Source organism: Homo sapiens, chromosome 12 (assembly GCF_000001405.40).
Source record: "Homo sapiens chromosome 12, GRCh38.p14 Primary Assembly".
Lineage (NCBI taxonomy): Eukaryota > Metazoa > Chordata > Mammalia > Primates > Hominidae > Homo > Homo sapiens.
Window position 1 is genome coordinate 806996 of NC_000012.12, and position 21447 is coordinate 828442.

Consider the following 21447-nt stretch of genomic DNA (forward strand, 5'->3'; position numbering starts at 1 on the left):
TGGGCTAGATCTCCCTATAAATTTGAAATAGTTATTCCTTATTCCCCAAGTAAGTATGGAAAAGAGGGAAAGAGGGATAGAAAGGTTAAGATTGAGCTGATAAGAAGACCCTTGTGGCGGGGTGGGGGGTTGGTGTGGGGAGTGGGTGGGAAGGTAGTACACAGTATTTAAAGTTAACAAGAGCTGGGTGTGGTGGTTAATGCCTGTAATCCCAGCACTTTGGGAGGCCAAGGCAGAGAATCACTTGAGGCCAGGAATTCTAGACCAGCCTGGGCAACAGAGTGAGACCCTGTCTCTGTTTTTTTTTTTTTTTTTTCCGGAGATTAATGAGTCCTCCCTCTTTTGCTTTTATTTCTTTAAGTGAAAGCCACATCAGGCACACTGAAAACCTAACTCTTTGTTTTTATGTACTGGGCTTATTTTTTTTCTTGATTTCTTTCCTGAACAAAATGAAACAATTCTTTGAGATGCTTGTCTTTGTGATGTGCACAACCACTTTTGCTTTCCTGTGGTGGCAGATTCTTACAGGATGACCCACTAAGTTTCAGTGCTAATAACTCCATTTGAGCTTTTCAGTTCTGTTTTGTTGGTTTCCCCTTTGGCAAACCCTCATTACCCTATTCAAAAAACTTTGGGAACTGTTTCTTCCCCATTTGCTGCAGAGTAACATTTGTCTCTGAAGTGTAAGATTTCCTTCCAGTAGGGAGCAATAATTCTTTTTTTTTTTTTTTTTTTTTTTTTTGAGACGGAATCTGGCTCTGTGGCCCAGGCTGGAGTGCAGTGGCGCAATCTCGGCTCACTGCAAGCTCCGCCTCCCGGGTTCACGCCATTCTCCGGCCTCAGCCTCCCGAGTAGCTGGGACTACAGGCGCGCGCCACTACGCCTGGCTAATTTTTTGTATTTTTAGTAGAGACGGGGTTTCACCGTGTTAGCCAGGATGGTCTCGATCTCCTGACCTCGTGATCCGCCCGCCTCGGCCTCCCAAAGTGCTGGGATTCCAGGCGTGAGCCACCGCGCCCGGCCGGGAGCAATAATTCTTCTATTATTATTCTCATTCACATTTATCTTTCCTTTTTCTCCCCTTCTCAGCCTTCTTGCTTTCTTCAGGAAGACCTCCTGCAAGACCTCACCTATAGTAGTTTGAGTTTAACCCTGTTAGCTGCTTTCACATTCAAATCAATTTAATCTACTTTAATAAAAAACTTTAAAAATTTATGTGAATGACTAGGTATGGTTCTAAGTTTTGCTATGCAATAGATACTGTAAGTCACTTAGTGAAAGTAGTTTGCCTTTTTTTTTCTTTTTTCTTTTGGAGACGGGGTTTTGCTATGTTGTAGGCTGGTCTCAAGCTCCTGGCCTCAAGCAGTTCTTCTGCCCTAGCCTCCCAAAGTGTGAGCCGCCATGCCCAGCCCTAGTTTGCCATTTTCTGTTTTATTTATTAATGTATTTTTATTTGTTGCCTTTGTCCACATGTTCTAAGCCATTTTCTAATAGAACTAAATGTGTTTTTTTTTTCTTTTTGTGGTTCAGCTATTATATGTATCTGCTACTTTTAGCATTAACCTAAAGCTTCCTGTATATGCCAAGTCCCAGGTATTTTGGAATCCCATGTGGCTTTTGTGCCCTCCAAAGAGAGGTGGAGAGAACCTCTTAGACTCCAACTTTTACATACTCTTGGCCCAGATTTGGGGATTAAGTGAAGGGTGCCTAATGAATAGAACCTATGCATTCGTATACATCTGGCTTGAGAAAACTGTATCTCTCTCTTTTTTTTTTTTTTTTTTTGAGAAGGAGTTCCACTCTTGTTGCCTAGGCTGGAATGCAATGGCGAGATCTCGACTCACTGCAATCTCCGCTTCCCAGGTTCAAGCGATTCTCTGGCCTCAGCCTCCCAAGTACCTCGGATTACAGGCGCCTGCCACCACGCCCGGCTAATTTTTGTATTTTTAGTAGAAATGGGGTTTCACCATCTTGGCCAGTCTGGTCTTGAACTCCTGACCTCAGGTGATCTGCCCACCTTGGCCTCCCAAAGTGCTGGGATTACAGGCGTGAGCCACCGCACCTGGCCTCCTATCTCTCTTATAAGTAGACTTTTCTTCTTGCTTCTTTGAAACAGAAACTTTTTGTAAATAAATAAAGTGTATAAAGGTGAGCCATATTGGGAAGAAGGGGCTGATAGAGGAGTTAGAACAACCAGGTAACCAGATTTTTTTTTCCTATTCTTTTGAGGAAAAAAAAAAAAAAAAAATTTTTTTTTTTTTTGGTCTTTCTGAAACTGGTGCTATTTCAGAATGATAGGTAAAAGTCTCCATGGAGAAGCAGGGGATGTGATGCCATGTTTACCTGCCCCTCCCCCCCATAATTATGATATCTTTTCACCCATTGAGGAAAGTTGGGCTCACATAGACTCTCTTCTTTATGCGATAGACCCCAAATTTCATCTCGTAAGAGTACCAGACTGGAAGGTCATAAAGAAATCTGCAGTAGGAATTTAATCTGTAGATTTGGCCACATAAAATGCAGGTGTAATTTTTATATTATACTTCAAAACACCTTGAAAGCCATGTTAGTCTTTTTGCTATCTTTAACAGTTAAGAATTTTTGCATGAGAATTATTATTTTGTTTCTAGTTGTAGTTTTTCCAACCTTTCCCAGGCCTTCAATCTCTAATTCTGAAGTTTTTAAGAAGAGTTAGTTACCTACAGTTAATACTTCTGTCATCTTTGAATTGCTGTTATACCATATAGGCCTATGAGAGAGTTGCCAGACTTAAATAATTATTTATATGCTTAATTTCTTTTAACACATAGAATAATTCTTTAAAAAATTGTTTTCTCTGTAAACTGTAACTGAAACCCATGCTGCCCTGGAAAGCAATGTTACAAACTGCTGTACCCTCTGCCTGAAGACAAGTTTTTATTTCTTTATCCTAATACCCAACAACAATTAGTATCACTTTAAAAGATAAAATAGAGGCCGGGCACGGTGGCTCACGTCTGTAATCCCAGCACTTTGGGTGGCTGAGATGGGCAGATCACAAGGTCAGGAGTCCCAGACCAGCCTGACCAACATGGCGAAACCCTGTCTCTACTAAAAATACAAAAATTAGCCAGGTGTGGTGGCACACGCCTGTAATCCCAGCTATTCAGGAGGCTGAGGCAGAATTGCCTGAACCCGGGAGGTGGAGGTTGCAGTGAGCAGAGATTGTGTCACTGCACTCCAGCCTGTGCGACAGAGCAAGACTCCGTCTCAAAAAAAAAAAAGGTGAAATAGATGCCCATGTCTTGCTAAGTCAGTGTGGTGCAGAAAATGATAAGGAGGGAGTATTCCAATATTGACCTAAAATATTTTAATCAAGAATTCCAGACACTTTTCTCCACCCATATTTTGATATGTAGAGTTATCATGTGTGGTCTTAATTTAGCAGTAAAATTTTGAATATTGCACATATATAATACTAGAGAAATTTAAATGTTAATAAGACTTGAGGACCAGATAATTTTGGGGATACAGTTGTTAGCTGTAAAGTAAAAATTTCAAGTTTAATGAATGAAAACTAGTCTCACTGCTCCATTAGCACAATTGGTTTGGAAGGTTTGCTTCTGGGCGAATAAAGTGAACAATAGCAAAGGATGGGATTGCTACTTTAAAAATACTAAAATATGAGGGTAAAGAGAGATGTCTGTCAGAGGATGTTTAAAATGAAACAGCTTCTTAAAAGCAAGGGACGGAAGATGTGCAAATGGTTATGAGGTCATTGTACTAAACATTAGCATTGTGCTTCTCACTCCAGAAGAAATTACATCAGTGGATAATCTACTGAGCACTGTAATTTGGGTAGTACTGAGATGAGCAATTGTTTTAGTTGTTGCCTGACCCCCACCCCACCCCCAGCAGCCTGGAACTGTGCATGTTATGAAGAGGTCATGTGACACGGATCCTTGGTTTTGCTCATTTATCCTGTCAAAACAACTTAATGTAGATGGAAAGAAATGAACGAAATGAATAGAATGGGTTAGCTGTATCAGCTTTAGTTTATATTGAAGGTAATGAATGCTGCAATTGGGATAGTATAGTATATTAAGGCCCCAGGAATATCCAGCTCCATAATGGTGAAGAGAAGGTTCTAAAAAGCAACAGTGGCTAATCCATTCTAAGTCTCACTTGATGTTTTAATGCTACTTTTTGATACGGTCTTTTAAAATTTTATCATTGTATTCATGATAATTTGATTGACAGTTGGTAATATTTAAACAATATATGGTTCCTCTTATTTTACCTTCAGCTGTAATTTAGTATAAAGTTCCTATTTCTTTTCAATAATTATTATATAATAACAAACGTGGATCTTCTGAGAAGAAAATTATTTTAGAAGTTTTGCAAAATATTTAGGGTTTGTTTGTTGTCATTGAAACATGAGCTTTGAACCAAATCTTCATTTGTCTCTTAGTTCTGTTTTTCATGTGAATTTGAGGGAGATAATAAAATTTTGTGAGTCAGTTCGTCTCACAACATTTTTCTGAGGATTAAATGAAGTGAAGCAGCCAACTAGTAAATGGCAAATACTTGGCAAAAATTATTTTTAAAACCCCAGGTGTTCCTTCTGATCTGTGTCTTATGTTAGTTTTGATCTACTTTATTATTGTCTTAAAGTCTTTTGGGTGCTAAAATTATGTACTTCTCTAAGATATTTTATGAAATGTTCCTAGATTAAAAAAAAAACAATATTCAGTTATAGATGGAACAAGTAGACAAACTATTGAAAGAAGCCCCAAATTATTTGTTTAGGTTTCCCCCATTTCCTGCTTTGTTGATGATAATCTGTTGTCATGCATCTGTATTTCTAACTTCAAACATTAAGCAGGGGTTCTCAGATCCCTTAAAATAAATAATACTTTTCAGAAAGGATAAAAACACTTAGCTATATAAAGTAGCCTGTATTTATAGTATAGATGTCTTCTGGGCAAATTAGAGATAAAATATTCTAAATATTTCTATGGAATTTTTAGATTGTCATTCAGTGTATTCTCAAGGAAAATTAAATACGGATTTTTGATGGCAAAGAAGTCCCCCGTTTTTTTCCCTCTATGCTTTGCTATAAATAAGTAGTTGGCAGCTTTTTTACAATAAGCTTTTACAAACCATTTTTAAAAATCAAAAGCTGGGACCTTTGCAAGTTGATCATTCTGTATGGGTTGTGTTGGACTTAACTGAGACTCAGAGGCCCAATTTCAATTCTCATTTTTCTTTTAAGTCACAGGAATTTTTTATCCTTGGGGAAATGCTAACTGCTTATTAAGGACACACACACACACTTTTAAAGGGGTATTGAGGGGAAAAGACATTTATGGAATTCATTCAACAAATGGCTGTTGAACAAGTCACTATGCTAGGTTGTCAGGTGCTAAAGATAGAACACAAAAAGGTATCTTGTCACTGCCTTTTCATGACAAAAAGCCTCTGAGGGCTTATTCTATGGGGGATAAGAGTCAATATAATGTTGCCTGTGATTAAGTGTTATGTAAGAGGCATGTACATAGTATCCATTGGTTTTAATGCTATTGGGCAGAGTAGAAACAGGAGTAGTAACTTGGTTTCCTTTTATTACATTCCTTATTGGGTACTTTTGGCGACAGAGTGAGAACCTTAAAGTTCAATTAATAATTGATGTAATAACTGAAGAGAAAAATTAATGAACAGGAAGGTAGATCAGAAAACATTGCCCAGAAAGTAGCATACAGAAGGAAATGGAAAATGAGAGAGAAATTAAAGGATATTAAGGATAAACTAAAGTTATACACATACTCACACACATTTAAAAATTGTTTAAAAAGAAAAGAAGAGTTGGAAGGGGAAAAAAAGAGAATGAGAGGAGACAGTGTTTAGAGAGATACTGAGAATTTTCCTGACTTGAAGACAAATACTTGAGTATTTAAGTTATTGCTTAAAAGAAAAAAAAAATTAGGCTTCATGCAGTGGCTCACACCTGTAATCCCAGGCTTTGGGATGCCAAAGTAGGAGGATCACCAGAAGTTCAAGACCAGCCAGTGCATCATAGCAAGACCTCATCTCTACAAAAAATTAAAAAATTAGCCGGGCAAGGTGGCACATGCCTGTAGTCCTAGCTACTCTGGAGGCTGAGGTGGGAGGATCCCTTGAGCCCAGGATTTGAGGCTGCAGTGAGCTATGATAGCACCGCTGCATTCCAGCCTTGGTCACAGAGTGACTTCCTGTCTTTTAAACAAACAAACAAAAATAAAAACAATGTTTTGGTTAAAGATAGATTGATTTTAATCAAGGCAAAGATAGAACTGGAATTTATATTTAGGTCTTTGCCTCCAAAGCCTATGTTCATTTCCTGACATTAAATTGCATGTCTAGCAATTGATGACTTATGTTGGATATGGAAAGTTAACTGCACCTTACAAAAATGAGACTATATCTGAGTTACACATTAACAGTAAAGATACTAAAATGATCTCAAGCATGAATGTATATAATCCAAATCTATCATTTATAACTTCAGCATTTGCATTTTTTAAACACCATCGATCATGATTTAGTAATGTTTAAGTGTCTAAGATTAACTGTCTGATTTGGTGTTTTATCATTTTAAACCACATTCTGTTTTGGTTTTTGATTTTAGGATCGAAAATTAACAAAGTCTGAGAGGCAGAGATTTAAAGAAGAAGCTGAAATGTTAAAAGGTCTTCAGCATCCCAATATTGTTAGATTTTATGATTCCTGGGAATCCACAGTAAAAGGAAAGAAGTGCATTGTTTTGGTGACTGAACTTATGACGTCTGGAACACTTAAAACGTAAGTTCATCAGTATTACAAAAGCTGACCAAGAAGTATGAGAGAATTTGATTTTTTAAATTTCAGGTCTACCAGTTTCACTTTGGTTGTTCAGCCTAAGAAGGGAACAGTCCTTCCAACTGTTACTGTATTAGCATATTTCCTTGCCCACAAAGTCCTCTAGTATATAAAGTGATTTGATAATTATTTCTTGGTAAGTATTGAAATGAGAAGTTATGGCCGAGTGTGGTGGCTCATGCCTGTAATCCCAGCACTTTGGGAGGCCGGGGCAGGCGGATCACCTGAGGTTGGATCACCTGAGGTCAGGAGTTCGAGACCAGCCTGGCCAACGTGGTGAAACCCCGTCTCTACTAAAAGTACAAAAATTAGCCGGGCATGGTGGCGTGCACCTGTAACCCCAGCTACTTGGGAGGCTGAGGCAGGAGAATCGCTTGAACCTAGGAGGCGGAGGTTGCAGTGAGCTGAGATCACCTCACTTCATTCCAGCCTAGGTGAGACTCTGTCTCCAAAAAAAAAAAAAAAGAGTGGCTAAGGAATCAGAAATCAAATGTCAAGGTAGCCCTCTAGTGGTTAAAATGAGATTAAGGTTTATTGAGAAACTACCTATTTTTTTCATTTGTATTGTGCTTTGCTATATCCCTGCAACTTTTATATCAGATGCAGATTATATTGTGACAGTTATCACTTAAAAAATACTTTTAGTTCCATTTCCCATAACATCAGAAATTAATCCCCAAATAGCTAGATCTATCATTCCTTTCACAGAAATAGGTTTAATGCAGAAATTTCCCGTTACTTATTGTAAAGAGCTTTTGGTAAGTGTTGGAGTATGCCTTTGTAATCCCAGGTTTCTTAGAGCAGCAGTCCCCAACCTTTTTGGCATCAGGGATTGGTTTCATGGAAGACAGTTTTTCCATGAACTGGTGCGGGGGTGGGGCTGGGGAAGTTTGGAATGATTCAAGCACATTACATTTATTGTGCACTCTATTTCTATTATTATTACATTAAAATATATAATGAAATAGTTATACAACTCACCATAATGTAGAATCAGTGGGAGCCCTGAGCTTGTTTTCCTGCAACTCAACTGTCCCATCTGGGGGTGATGGGAGACAGGGCAGATCATCAGGCATTAGATTCTCATAACGAACGCTCAACCTAGATCCCTTGCATGCACAGTTCACAGTAGGGTTCATGGCCCTGTGAGAAATCTAATGCTGCTGACAGGAGCCAGAGCTCAGGTGGTAATGCGAGCAGTGAGGGAGCGGCTGTAAATACAGATGAAGCTTTGCTTGCTCGCCTGCCACTCACCTCCTGCTGTGTGGCCAGGTTCCTAAAAGGCCATGGACTGATATTGATCTGTGGCTCAGTGGTTGGGGACCCCTGGTATCTTAGAGGATCTGTTTTTACTCAGAGAAGAACCTGTAGTAAGTTACCTTGTATAAATTTTTTATTTGGTGAAATTGGATATTTTTAAATTATCACTGTGGCATATATTCTTTATTAATTGTTAAAGTTAATACTGCTGAGCTGATTAATTCCAGATCATTGGAATACAGTGTTACAGCACCTGGATATAGTCACTTGCATGTTTTCTGAAATGCTTACGGTTAGCATGTTGAAACATGAACAGATCATTTCTGTCCTGCAAATTCTAATTTCTTTATCCAACTTCCACTCTTGTTTATGGCAATACCTTTATCCTAGTTAGTCAGGCTTCTTGATACTCTCTTTTCTTCCATTAGAATGTGCTAACTAGCACTATATACCTAGTACTATGAACAAGTGCTAGATATCACATTCTACTGGAAGTGTCTAATACTGAATAATAAGTGTTTGAATGAATTAAGGAGAATTATGTGGTAATAATTATGTGTACATCTTGAGATTCTTTCCACTGGTTTGGATACTTACTTGGTTGTCAACAGTTTGTCTGGCATGCCTAAGATTACTCTAAAATACAATGGTTTACTTGTTTTAAAAACTATATTGAGGAGCTTTGGGTAACATAGTGGGGTAATAAGCCCCTGTGGAATGGCTGTCCCACACCAACAAACTGAAATGTGGAATATAATAAAAGTTTTTTCCAATACGTGTCTAAGCTTTAAGGAAAGAAAGGTTAACCTCCAGATAATAAGCAGAGATAACTCAAAGCCAAAACAGGAACTTATACTCTGGGATTTTAGACCACATATTGGTTGAGGAGTTGATGCTAGTTTTAATGTCCATGCAAGGACAGAAAGCCTTAGAACTAGGTAGAGAGGGGAGCTAGAACTTAGCCTGTGTCAAAAAACTGAACTATCCGTGAAAAGAGAGACCTCAGTGCTCTAGCCAGTGAAAGCTGCAAGGAATTTTACCTGTGTGCAGAAGACTGTGGATAAGAGGGGAGACCTATGAAAAATAGAAATTCACATCAAATGCTACCAGTGTTCTTAATTATTCTGTAAACTAATCTTTTCTTTTTCTTTTTTTGGAGACAGGGTCTCACTCGGTTGCCCAGGACAGAGTGCAGCAGCACAATCATAGCTCACTGCAGCCTCAAACTCCTGGGCTCAGGGAATCCTTCCACCTCAGCCTCCCCACTACCTGGGACTATAGTTGCTCACCACCATACCTGTCTAATAAAAAAACAATTTTTTTTTTTTTAGTAGAGACAGTGTCTATTTTGTTGCCCAGGCTGCTCTCAAACTCCTGAGCTCATCCTGATTTGGCCTCATCCCGATTTGACCTCCCAAACTGCTGGGATTACAAGCATGAGCCACGGTGCCCAGCCTGTTTGGTATTCTTCCATCTCATATGTAGATGGCGCTATAACATAAATTTGTACCATCTACTTGGTACAGGAATCCCAAACCGAAGAACATACATGATAATTGATCAGGAACGGAAAGAAAACTCCCGGGGACATTTTCACAGTTCCTTGGTCAGTGTCCAGAGGCAAAACTGTTTCCAAAGAAGATGACCTCACAATTAAATTACAAATCACACCAATGAAGGTGAATAGACACAACCAGAAAATAGCACTGCAACAATTAAGGATATCATGGACAAGTCTGAAAGTGATTACAAACAATTATTTACATAATGATGTCAGTAAAGATATTTGTAAGTGTATATGAAGTGTATAAAGAGAAAAGAAGGAATTGAAGGAAAAAGACACCAAAGAAAAAAAAGACAGGCATAATTTAAAAGCTTCTGAAGAACTTCTAGAAATAAGAACATTAAAATTCAAACATAAATGGTCTAACGGTTAAACAGCAGACTGAATTGAATTGACAGGAATATTAACTACGAAGAAATGAGCAACAGAACACACAAAAAAGACAGAAAATATTTAAAGAGGATGACATAGTAGTGAGAAGACCCAGATAGATTTAATTATCTAAAAGGGGTTTCCCTGTAGTCCTAGCTACTCTGGAGGCTGAGGCAGAGAATCACTTGAGCCCAGGAGGTGGAGGTTGCAATGAGCCGAGATCGTGCCTCTGCACTCCAGCCTGGGTGACAGAGCGAGACTCCATCTCAAAAATAAAAATGAAAAAGTAGAGAGAATGAGAAAAAGAAAAATTTCAGAATTTAAGAATTCTGATTGAGAATGTATACAGATTCCTAAGCAAGTAGATTGAAAACATTCATATTCATTTCTGGAAGAATGGATAACTAGGACCATTGGCAGCATTTGGAGAGGCAGATTGGGAAGGAATGGGAATTAATTCCAAAATGCGTGCTTTTTGGACCTTTCGAGTTTCTACCTTTGTTCTCTATGTATATTTACATTGAAACAGATAAAACACCCATAGCTGAAAAATAAGATGGGAATGTATGAGTCAGAAAATTTGGATTAAGGCCAGGCGTGGTAGTTCACACCTGTAATCCCAGCACTTTGAGAGGCTGAGGCGGATGGATCACCTGAGGTCAGGATCACCTGAGGTCAGTTCGAAACCAGCCTGTCCAACATGGTGAAACCCCATCTCTACTAAAAATACGAAAAATTAGCTGGGCATGATGGCGGGCGCCTGTAATCCCAGCTACCCGGGAGGCTGAGGCAAGAGAATCGCTTGACCCCGGAAGTGGAGGTTGCAGTGAGCCGAGATTGTGCCACTGCACTCTAGCCTGGGTGACAGAGTGAGACTCCATCTCAAAAAAAGAAAAAGAAAAAAAATTTGGATTAAAAGTTGAGATAAATTTAGATGTATTTTTTTAAATAGACATGAAATTCAAATATCATACAATTAACATTTTAGAAAGTACAATTCAGTGGCACTTAGTACATTCACAATGTTTTGTAAGTACCACATCTATCAAGTTACTCAACATTTTAATCACCTCAGAACACTCTGTGCCCATTAAGCAGTTACTCTGCATTTCCCTTCCTCCAGCCAGGCAGCGTATTTTTTCTTTAATTGCACATTATCTAAGTTCTTTTTCTTTTTACAATTAAAAAGAAATTTTCAGTTTCTGAGCTTCAGAGGCTTATGCCAACAGGAGGGTTTATTAAGTAGAAAGAGCATTAGACTTGCAGTAGAAGTTGTGACTGCTCCCACCGCTGCCTCTGACCAACTGTGATTTTGGGCAAATAGCTAACCTTATTTGGGCTTCAGTTCCCCATGTGTATGTAAAACAAGTGGTTGGACTGCCTGATCTCTGGGACCAGCCATTCGTGGATGGGATTTTTTTATTGTAAAAAACATAACAAAATTTACCATCTTAACCATTTTTAAGTGTATAGTTCAGTAGTGTTAATACAAACACATTTCTGTGCAATTTCTAGAATGCTTTTCATGTCACAAACTCTATGCCCGTGGAACAATTTCCCATTTCTCCCAACCCTCAGCTCCTGACAACTACCAACTTTTTACCATCTCTATGGATTTATCTAATCAGGATATGTCCTATAAATAGACTCAAAGTATGTTATGGATCCTTGTGTTTGGCGTCTTTCACTTAGCATGGTGTTTTCGAGGATCATCGTGATTGCACGCATCAGTACTTCATCCCCTTTTATGACTGAATAACATTCCATTGCATGGAAATATCACAGTTTGTTTATTTATCCATTGATGAACATTTGGGCTGTATCCACCTTTTGGCTATTATGAGTACTGCTGCTATGAATATTTGTGCAGAAGTATTTTTTTGAGTACCTGTTTTCATTTCTTTTGGCTGTATACTAGGAATGGAATTGCTGAGTCATGTGGAAATCTTTGTTTAACTTTTTGAGGAGGCATCCTACCGGGAGTGACATGATACCTCATTATGGATTACATTTGCATTTCCCTAATGATTAATAATGTGGAACATCTTTTCATATGCTTATTGGCTATTTGTGTATCTTTGGAGAAATGTTTATTCAAGTTCTTTGCTCATTTTTTATTGGATTGCTTGTTTTTTTGTTGATTTATTAGAGTTCTTTATATATTTTAGAAATTAGACCCTTGTCCAGATCCATGATATGCAGATATTTTCTCCTATAGGTTGCCTTTTTTGCTCCTTGATAATGTTCTATGATGTACAGATTGAGTATAGTATCTCTTATCCGAAATGCTTGGGACCAGAAGGGCTTTGAATTTTTTCAGATATTGGAACTTTGAATTATACTTACCAGTTAAGCCTCCCAAATCTGAACTCCAAAATGTTCAAATGAGCATTTTTGTTGTGTGTCATGTTGGTGCTCAAGTTCAGATTTTCTATTGGAGCATTTTGGATCTTGGATTTTCTGATTTGGATGCTCAAGCCTGTGCCAAGTTTTAAATTTTGATAAAATCCAATGTATCTGCTTTGTCTTTTGATGGTTGGGCTTTTGGTGTCATGTAAGAGTCCATTGTCATAAATAACCAAGGGCATACAGATGTATCCCTAAGTTTTCTTCTAAGAGTTCTATCAATTTAACTTTTCTATTTAGGTTATTGTTCCATTTTTAAGTTAACTTTTGTGTATGCCGTGAGGTAGGGTCTGATTTCATTCTTTTACATGTTGATGTCCAGTTATCCCAGCATCATTTGTTGAAGAGACTTTTACCTATTGAATGGTCTTGGTACTCTTCTCAAAAATTATTTAATCATATGTATAGGTTTATTTCTGGACTCTCAATTCTATTTCATTGGCCTACATGTCTGTTCTTATGCCAGTACCGCATTGCTCTGATTACTATAGTAATTTTTGTAAATTTTGAAAATTAGAAGTGACTTCTCCAATTTTGTTCTTCTTTTTCACTATTGTTTTTGACAGTTGGGGTCTTCTTGAAATTCCATGTGAATTTGAGGATTAGATTTCCATTTCTACAAGAAAAGGCTGTTGGAATTTTGACAGAAATTGTGTTGAATCTGTAGATCATTTTGTATAGTATCACCATCTTTAACTATATTGTCTTCTAATCCGTGAACACAGGGTGTCTGTCCATTTATTTATGTCTTTTTTAATTTCTTTCAGCAATGTTTTGTAGTTTCATTATACAAGTCTTTCACATCCTTGGTTAAATTTATTCCTAGATCCTTTATATGCTATTGCAAATGAAATTGTTTTCTTAATTTCCTTTTCAGATTGTTAATTGCTGGTATATATAAATACAACTGATTTTTGTGTGTCAGTCTTGTACTTTTGTAACTTTACTGAATTCTTGTATTAGCTCATCTGTGTGTGTGTTCATTCTTTGGGGTTTTTTTTTTTTTTTTTTTTTTTTAAACAGATGGGGTTTCACTCTGTCACCGAGGCTGGAGTGCAGTGGTGCAGTCATAGCTCACTACAGACTTGAACTCTAGGCTTAAAGGATCCTCCCACCTCAGCCTCCTGAGTAGCTGGGACTCCAGGTGTGTACCACCATGCCTGGCTAATTTTTAAATTTTTCATAAAGATAGGGTCTCAATATATTGCTTATGGTAGTCACAAATTCCTGGCCTCAAGTGATCTCCCTTGCCTCTGGCTCCCAAAGTGCTGAGATTACAGGTGTGTGCCACCACACCTAGCCATTCTTTGGGATTTTTATATATTGGATCAAGTCATATGTGAATAGATAGTTCTTTCAGATTTGAATGCCTTTATTTCTTTTTCTTGTCTAACTGTTTTGGCTAGAGCTTGAATTATGATTAGCATTGATTATCCTTGTCATATTACTGATTTTAAGGAGAAAGCTTTTGGTCTTTCACCATTGAGTATATGTTAGCTGTGAGTTTTTCATAAATGTTCTTTATCATGTTGAGGAAGTTCTCTGCTATTCCTATCCTAGTTTCTTGAGTTTTTTTTTTTTTTTTTTTTTTTTTGGAAAGGTGTTAGATTTTGTCAAATGCTCTTCTGCATCAAGTTAGATAATCATGAAACCACTTCGTTCTATTAGTGTGATATATTATACTGATTAATTTTCTTATGTTGAATCACCCTTGCATTTCATAGATAAATAGTGTATAATCCTTTTACTATGCAGTTGGGTTTGGCTTGCCAATATTTTGTTGAGAGTTTTTACATCTACATTAATAACGGTGTTAGTCTATAGTTTTCTTTTGGTATCTTCAGTATCAGGGCAATACTGGCCTCACAGAATGATTTAGAAAGTGTTTCCTCCACTTTTGCTTTTTGGAAGAGTAGGATTTGTGTTAATTCTCCTGTAAATGTTTGGTAGAACTCATCAATGAAGCCATCCAGTCCTAGACTTTTCTTTGGAGATTTCTTGAAGGAATGTTCCATGTACAGTTGAGAATATATATTCACTTGTTGTTGGGCAGTGTGTTCTAAATATGTCTGTTACCTTTTGGTGGTTTATAATATTGTTCAAGTCTTCTGTTTTCTTACTCATCTTTTGTCTAGATGTTTTATCCGTTATTGAAAGTGGAATACTGAAGTCTCCAACTATTACTGTAGTGTCTACTAATTTCCTCCCTTTAATTCTGTGAATGTTTGCTTCATTATTTGGTGGCTTTATTGTTTGATGTATATAATTGTTATTTTTTATGGATTGGCCCTTTTATCAATACATCATGCTCTTCTTTATCTCTTGCATCAGTATTTTTACTTATTTTGCCTGATATTAGTTTTGCTACCTCACCCTCTTTTATTTACTATTAGCATAGAATATCATTTTTCTTTCATCCTTTGAATTTCAACCTATTTCTGTCCTTGGATCTATAATGAGTCTCTTGTAGACAGTATATAGTTGGCTTTTTTTCTTTCTTTTTAAAAAATCCATTCTGCCCATCTCTGTTTTTGGTAGGAGAGTTTATTTACATTTAATTAGTCAAAATGAATGATTTGCTATTTTGCTGTTTGTTTTCTGTATGTCTTATACCTTTTTTTTTTTTTTTTTTTTTTTTGAGACGGAGCCTCGCTCTGTTGCCCAGACTGGAGTGCAGTGGCACAGTCTCAGCTCACTGCAACCCCCGCCTCCCGGGTTCAAGCGATTCTCCTGCCTCAGCCTCCTGAGTAGCTGGGATTATAGGTACTCACCACCACGCCCAGCTAATTTTTGTATTTTTAGTAGAGACAGGGTTTCACCACGTTGGTCAGGCTGGTCTCAAACTCCTGACCTTGTGGTCCTGCCCACCTCAGCCTCCCAAAGTGCTGGGATTACAGGCGTAAGCCACCGCCCGCAGCCGTAATATATCACATTCCTAGAGACAGTCTTGTACTGTTTTTTGCTCCTTATCTCCTTCATTACTACCTTTTTAAATGTATTTATTTTTCTTTTGTAGTATACCATTTTCATTCCTTTCTCATTTCCTTTTGTGTATATATTTAGATATTTTTTCAGTGGTTACCTTGAGGATCACAATTAACATCATAAACCTCCAACAGTCTACCCTGAATTGATACCAACTTAGCTTTAATACAGCATACAAATCTCTGATCCTATACAGCCTCACTCCTCCTTCCCATTTTATGTTTTCATTGTCTCAAATTTTATGTTTATACATTGTGTACCCATTAGCATAGTTTTATAATAATTATTTTACATGCATTTGTCTTTTAAATCATGTAGGAAATAAAAGGAATTATAAACCAAAAATACATTAATACTGGTTTTAATATTTAGATGTGTGATGGACTTTACCAGAGATTTGATTTGGTTTTATGGCTTCAAGTTATTGTCTAGTGTTCTTTTATTTCCTCTAAGGATTCTCTTTAGCATTTCTTTTAGGGAAAGTGTACTACTGTCAAACTCTTCCAGCTTTTATTTACCTGGGAATATCTTAATTTCTCTTTCATTTCTGCAGTATAATTTTGCTGATATATAATTCGTGGTTGGCAGTCTTCAGGTTTTTTTTGGGGTTTTGCTTTTGTTTCTTTTAGCACTTTAAATATGTCATCCCACTGCTTTCTGCCCTCTATGGTTTTTGCTGAAAAATCAGCTCATAATCTTATTGAGGATCCCATGGTCATAAGTCACTTCTCCCTTGCTACTTTCAAGATTCTCTCTTTGTCTTTGCCTTTTAACAGTTTGAATATAGTGTTTCTCATTGTGGATCTATTTGCATTTATCCTTAGAGTTTGTTGAACTTTTTGGATGTGTAGATTCATGTCTTTTACTAAGTTTGGGAAATTTGTGGCCATTATTTTCTTAAATATTCTTTCTGCTCTTTTCTGTCTTCTTTATCTAGGACTCCCATTGTGTATATTTTGCTCAACTTGATGGTGTCCCACAGATCTCTTAGACTCTGCTCATTTCTGCTCCTCAGACTGTACAGTTTCACTTCCTATTTTCAAGTTTATTGCCTTTTTCTTCTGTGTGTTCGCATATGCTGTTGAAATCTGTTAGTGAATCTTCACAGTATTTTTCAGCACCTCAATTTCTACTTGGTTCCTTTTTAAAGTTTCTGTCTCTGTTGATATTCTCTACTTCAATAGAATATTCTTTGTACTCTTAATATTTAGCAGCCATTGTTCTCAGCATTTAGTCTGCAAAGTTTTGGCATAGGTACTATAATTATCCCTATTTAACCATGAGTTGATTGTTTTTAGTAAATATCTTAGTACTGAAGAACTGATTAAGAGCTCTGCTTATGAGAGTGGAGCTTTTCAGCAACTGGGCTTTGTCTTCAATGTGGTTGGGCAAAAATCAGTCACAATGGAAGAACCTGAAGTGCTTGATATATCAGAGACATCTTTTTTTTTTTTTTTTTTTTTGGAGATGGAGTCTCGCTCTGTGTTGCCCAGGGCGGAGTGCAGTGGCGTGATCTCGGCTAACTGCAACCTCTGCCTCCCGGGTTCAAGCGATTCTCCAACCTCAGCCTCCCGAGTAGCTGGGGCTATAGGCACATGCCACCATGCCCAGCTAGTTTTTATGTTTTTAGTAGACACCATGTTTCGCCATATTGGTCAGGCTGGTCTTGAACTCCTGACCTCAGGTGATCCATCCACCTCAGCCTCCCAAAGTGCTGGGAGTGAGCCAGCGTCAGCCACTGCACCTGGCAGAGACATCTTTTTTTTTTTTTTTTTTGTCCTATCTGCACTGATGGTGCCTAATTGTCACTTTTCTTTCTCAAGATGTGGTTGGTTATGGTGATTTTAATTAATATTCGTATTTTTATAACCACTTTTCATTCTCACCAAACTTAGCTTCTCTGAGTTTAGAAATGTTCCATTTGTAATATGGAGCAGATTGGATTCCTTCTTGTCCTTATACTTTCCTTATAAACATTGCTATAATAATCATGTTTGTACACAATTCCCAAAGAATAGGTTCTTAAAATGAAATGTGAATCATAATATATGTGTAATTTTCACTTGAATAGCAATTTAGACAAAGATATGATTCCCTCCTGCTAGCTGGGATAATCTTGAAGGTCTTTACTAAAATGATAGATATAATTTAAGTAGATCTTAAAGGATAAACAGGTTTTCTGTAATTAGGGAGGTGCTATGGGAATAGTTAAAAAAAAGAGAGAAGTAATATAAAGTTCATAGTAGGATAAGATACCCTTTTGTTTAAAAATAGGATGTTTATAAGGAGGACTAACGACAAATAAAATTTCCAATATTTTATTATAAAATTCTAAAAATTATATAGAAAAGGCAAAAGAAACATACAGTGAGCACACACTCAGCACCAAGATTCTGTTGTTACTAACTTTTTGCATCACTTGCCTTACCATATTATTAATATGTCCATTTATTCATCCTCCATCCATCTTATTCATTCCATAATAAAATAAATTGTAAAATAAAATAATTCAATATGCTTCACCCGTAAACCCTTCAGTATGCATTTCGTTAGAGTTCCAGTATTTGTGTACTTTATTTTTCTTTTACCTCCAAACAGCATCAGGATAGAATAAATTATTATTGTACGATTGAATGAGTTTTGACAAGGCATTCATTCGTGTAACCAAAACTCTCAAGATAGAGAACATTTCCATCATATCGGAAAATGCCCTTATGCCGCTTTCCAGGCAGCCTTTTCCTTACCCTCCATCCAGCATGACTGTTTTGATATATTTTTTAAACCATAAAACCCACTTTTGCTATTAGTTTTCTTCAATTAGCCCACCCAAATGAAGTAAAATTTTATTTTAGTTCTGCTATTTGATTTTTAGTTAGATCTGGATCTCTGCATGTTTTTCATTTTAAGTAGTTGCCCTGAAGATTACATTTACGTTGTTACTTTTCACAATTTATTTAGGACTAATACTGTACAATTTCATGTAAAATACAAGACCTTTGCACAAATAAGGTTTTCATATAACCCCTCTACCGCTTGTTCTGTATGCTGTAATTTTCATATCTTATACAAGTACAAGATTACATAAGTAATTTCATATCTTATACAAGTACATAGATAAGTCATTATTAAATGGGAGTAATTATAGTACCTATTCAACAAAATTGGAATACTAAATGCAGGAAACAGTGACAGCCAAATGTTAACAGTATAGAAAATTTTACCTCAACAAATAGAGAATATCAGTAAAGACATAGAAATTACAAAAATTAAACAAATTCAGGAACTGAAAAACAATAATTAATAGAATATGTAAGCATATCATATATATCACAGTATTATAGATTTTCCTTTAACCAATCATGTGTGTATTTTAAAGATACTGAAAGGAAAATGTAGTCTTTTCTATTTAACATTTTTAGTGCTCTTTTTTTCCTGAATATTTCCAGATAAAATAGGCATTGGAACTCAATCCCCAGATGTATCTTTTCTACAGTGGGTAGCACCAGAGGTCTCTGTTCAGTTCTTTTAGCATACTTGGGCTGCTTGGAATCTTTCCTACATTCATGTATTTCAGAGGTCAACTAGAGATTTGGGCAGAGTGGATACACAGAATTTAGGGCTCTCCTTTGGTGCCTGCTTTCTGAGATTTCCTCCTTTCCTTTCTAGATCTGTGCTGTCCAGTAGAACTTTCTGCCATTATGGAAATGTTGTATAACGTACACCATCCAGAATGGTAGCCATTTGCCTCATGTGGCTGTTCAGCACGTGAAATGTGGCTAGTGCAACTGAGAAATGAAATTTTTTATTTTAGTTAATCTACATTTGAGTAGTCACATTTGGCTAGTGGCAACTTTATTGGACAGACCATCCTTGCAGAAAGGTCTGTTAGACAGCACTGTTCTTGATGCTGTGGTCATTCCAAACTCAGTCGCCATTTCTGTCTGGGGTTTAGCAGACCTGCAGAATCAGAACAGGCCCTTTCCTTAGGTAAAAATGTATTATAAAGAAGGAAACTCAAGTAGTGCTTTCCCTTTTTCCCTTCCAACTATGACTGATTTTGATTGCTCTCCAGAGCCTTCAAGTAATAGTTGTTTTGTATATTTTTGACTAGAGTTTATAAATACATCTGTGTCTGATAGAACTACTCCACTATTTAACAGAAGCAGAACTCTACCTCTTAATCATTTAAATGGTGACCTAATGTTAAGGAATTCATATTTGGTGCTTTGTTACCATAATTCTCTTACCAATCACTAATTAAATATTTTTGGCTCTGAAATATTTAGCTGATATAGCCAACTTGATCTCCCATTTCTTTAAGAAAAAACTAGTTACCTAATACTATCATTGTTTAGATGAAAAAGCATTTGGAAGACTTATTTTTCTGGGTCTCTTAATAGAATTTTTATTTTAAACTATCATAGCCCTGCTTACTAAAAGTATTATTAACCTTTAGTGTTACTGAATCTTAGTATGCTAAATTTGATATTCCCATCTCCAGTCATGTTAGAATTTAATGGAATTCTTCAAAGCAACAAACTCCTATCATTGATAACTTGTTTGGTATACTTTGCTTTTTCTAGGTATCTGAAAAGGTTTAAAGTGATGAAGATCAAAGTTCTAAGAAGCTGGTGCCGTCAGATCCTTAAAGGTCTTCAGTTTCTTCATACTCGAACTCCACCTATCATTCACCGCGATCTTAAATGTGACAACATCTTTATCACCGGCCCTACTGGCTCAGTCAAGATTGGAGACCTCGGTCTGGCAACCCTGAAGCGGGCTTCTTTTGCCAAGAGTGTGATAGGTATGTTTCAGGTGTACCTTGGAGCCTGACTGGCTTTCTCACATTCCTTTTATTTAGAATCCTGGCTCTGTCAGAGTTTTAAGTGATATAAACCTTAAGAAATTCATAGCTTGAACTCAGGAGGTGATCCATTGTACTTATGAGATATAGGATTCTCTATATTTGTGCTTCTTGGAATCATCTTAGAGACTATTGGTAACATTACGTTACAAGAAATAAAGTGAACTTTGTTGATAAAACCTAATGTAATAGCCTTTTTTGTTGTTGTTGTTGTTGTTGTTGTTGAGATGGAGTCTCTCTCTGTCACCCAGGCTAGAGTGCAGTGGCACAATCTCAGCTCACTGCAACCTCCACCCACCGGGTTCAAGCGATTCTTGTGCCTCAGCCTCCCGAGTAGCTGGGATTACAGGCATGCATCACCATGCCTGGCTAATTTTTGTATTTTTAGTAGAAATGGGGTTTCACCGTGTTGGCCAGGCTGGTCTCGAACTCCTGGCCTCAAGTGATCCACCTGCCTTGGCCTCCTAAAGTGTTGGGATTACAGGCGTGAGCCACCCCGCCCAGCCAGCCATCTTTTCATTACACACTGTTGATACTTAACATTATACACTATTTATTTAATACATACAGTATGTCACTTCATGAAAGAAATGGAATTTATATTTAGTTTTACTTTCTAAAATTAAAAGATAAAAATTAAATTTTTAAACATATAAAATGTCTGTTGGATATATATGTATATTCAAGAATATTGGCCAAGCACAATGGCTCATGCCTGTAATCCCAGCACTTTGGGAGGCTGAGGTGGGAGGGTCACTTGAGGTCAGGAGTTTGAGACCAGTCTGGCTAAGATGGAGAAACCCCATCTCTATTAAAAATACAAAAAAAAAAAAATTAGCCGGGTGTGGTGGCGGGTGCCTGTAGTCCCAGCTACTCAGGAGGCTGAGGCAGGAGAATCACTTGAACCCGGGAGGTGGAGGTTGCAGTGAGCTGAGATTGCGCCACTGCACTCTAGCCTGGGCAACAGAGCAAGACTCCATCTCCAAAATAAAAAAAATAAAAAGAATAACCTCCTAACATTTTGTGAAAATAAATATGACAATTCATTCTGAAAAGTTGGTTTTATCAACTTTTTTCTTAGTCTCACTCTTCAGAATTTATGATCTATCTAAAAGAGTGT

The 21447-nt window shown here is 37.2% G+C and overlaps 1 protein-coding gene across 50 annotated transcripts in view, besides 2 other annotated features; it reads left to right on the plus strand.

The window, feature by feature from the left end:
- The window catches only part of WNK1 (WNK lysine deficient protein kinase 1), a 158874-nt gene that overhangs the window by 54417 nt on the left and 83010 nt on the right, over positions 1 to 21447 (plus strand). For all 50 annotated transcript variants that reach the window (NM_213655.5, XM_011520997.4, XM_011521000.3 and 47 more), the window contains exons 2-3: positions 6647 to 6819; positions 20047 to 20267. In NM_213655.5, the coding sequence (NP_998820.3) occupies positions 6647 to 6819; positions 20047 to 20267 (394 nt within the window). The remainder of the gene's footprint in view (positions 1 to 6646; positions 6820 to 20046; positions 20268 to 21447) is intronic.
- Positions 1485 to 1985: an enhancer, noted in NCBI's record as "OCT4-H3K27ac hESC enhancer chr12:917646-918146 (GRCh37/hg19 assembly coordinates)". NCBI's record gives its function as "activates a minimal SCP1, AML or CMV promoter by ChIP-STARR-seq in naive H9 embryonic stem cells {active_cell/tissue: H9 hESC(naive)}" and the evidence as "EXISTENCE:reporter gene assay evidence [ECO:0000049][PMID:30033119]".
- Positions 1986 to 2486: an enhancer, noted in NCBI's record as "OCT4-H3K27ac hESC enhancer chr12:918147-918647 (GRCh37/hg19 assembly coordinates)". NCBI's record gives its function as "activates a minimal SCP1, AML or CMV promoter by ChIP-STARR-seq in naive H9 embryonic stem cells {active_cell/tissue: H9 hESC(naive)}" and the evidence as "EXISTENCE:reporter gene assay evidence [ECO:0000049][PMID:30033119]".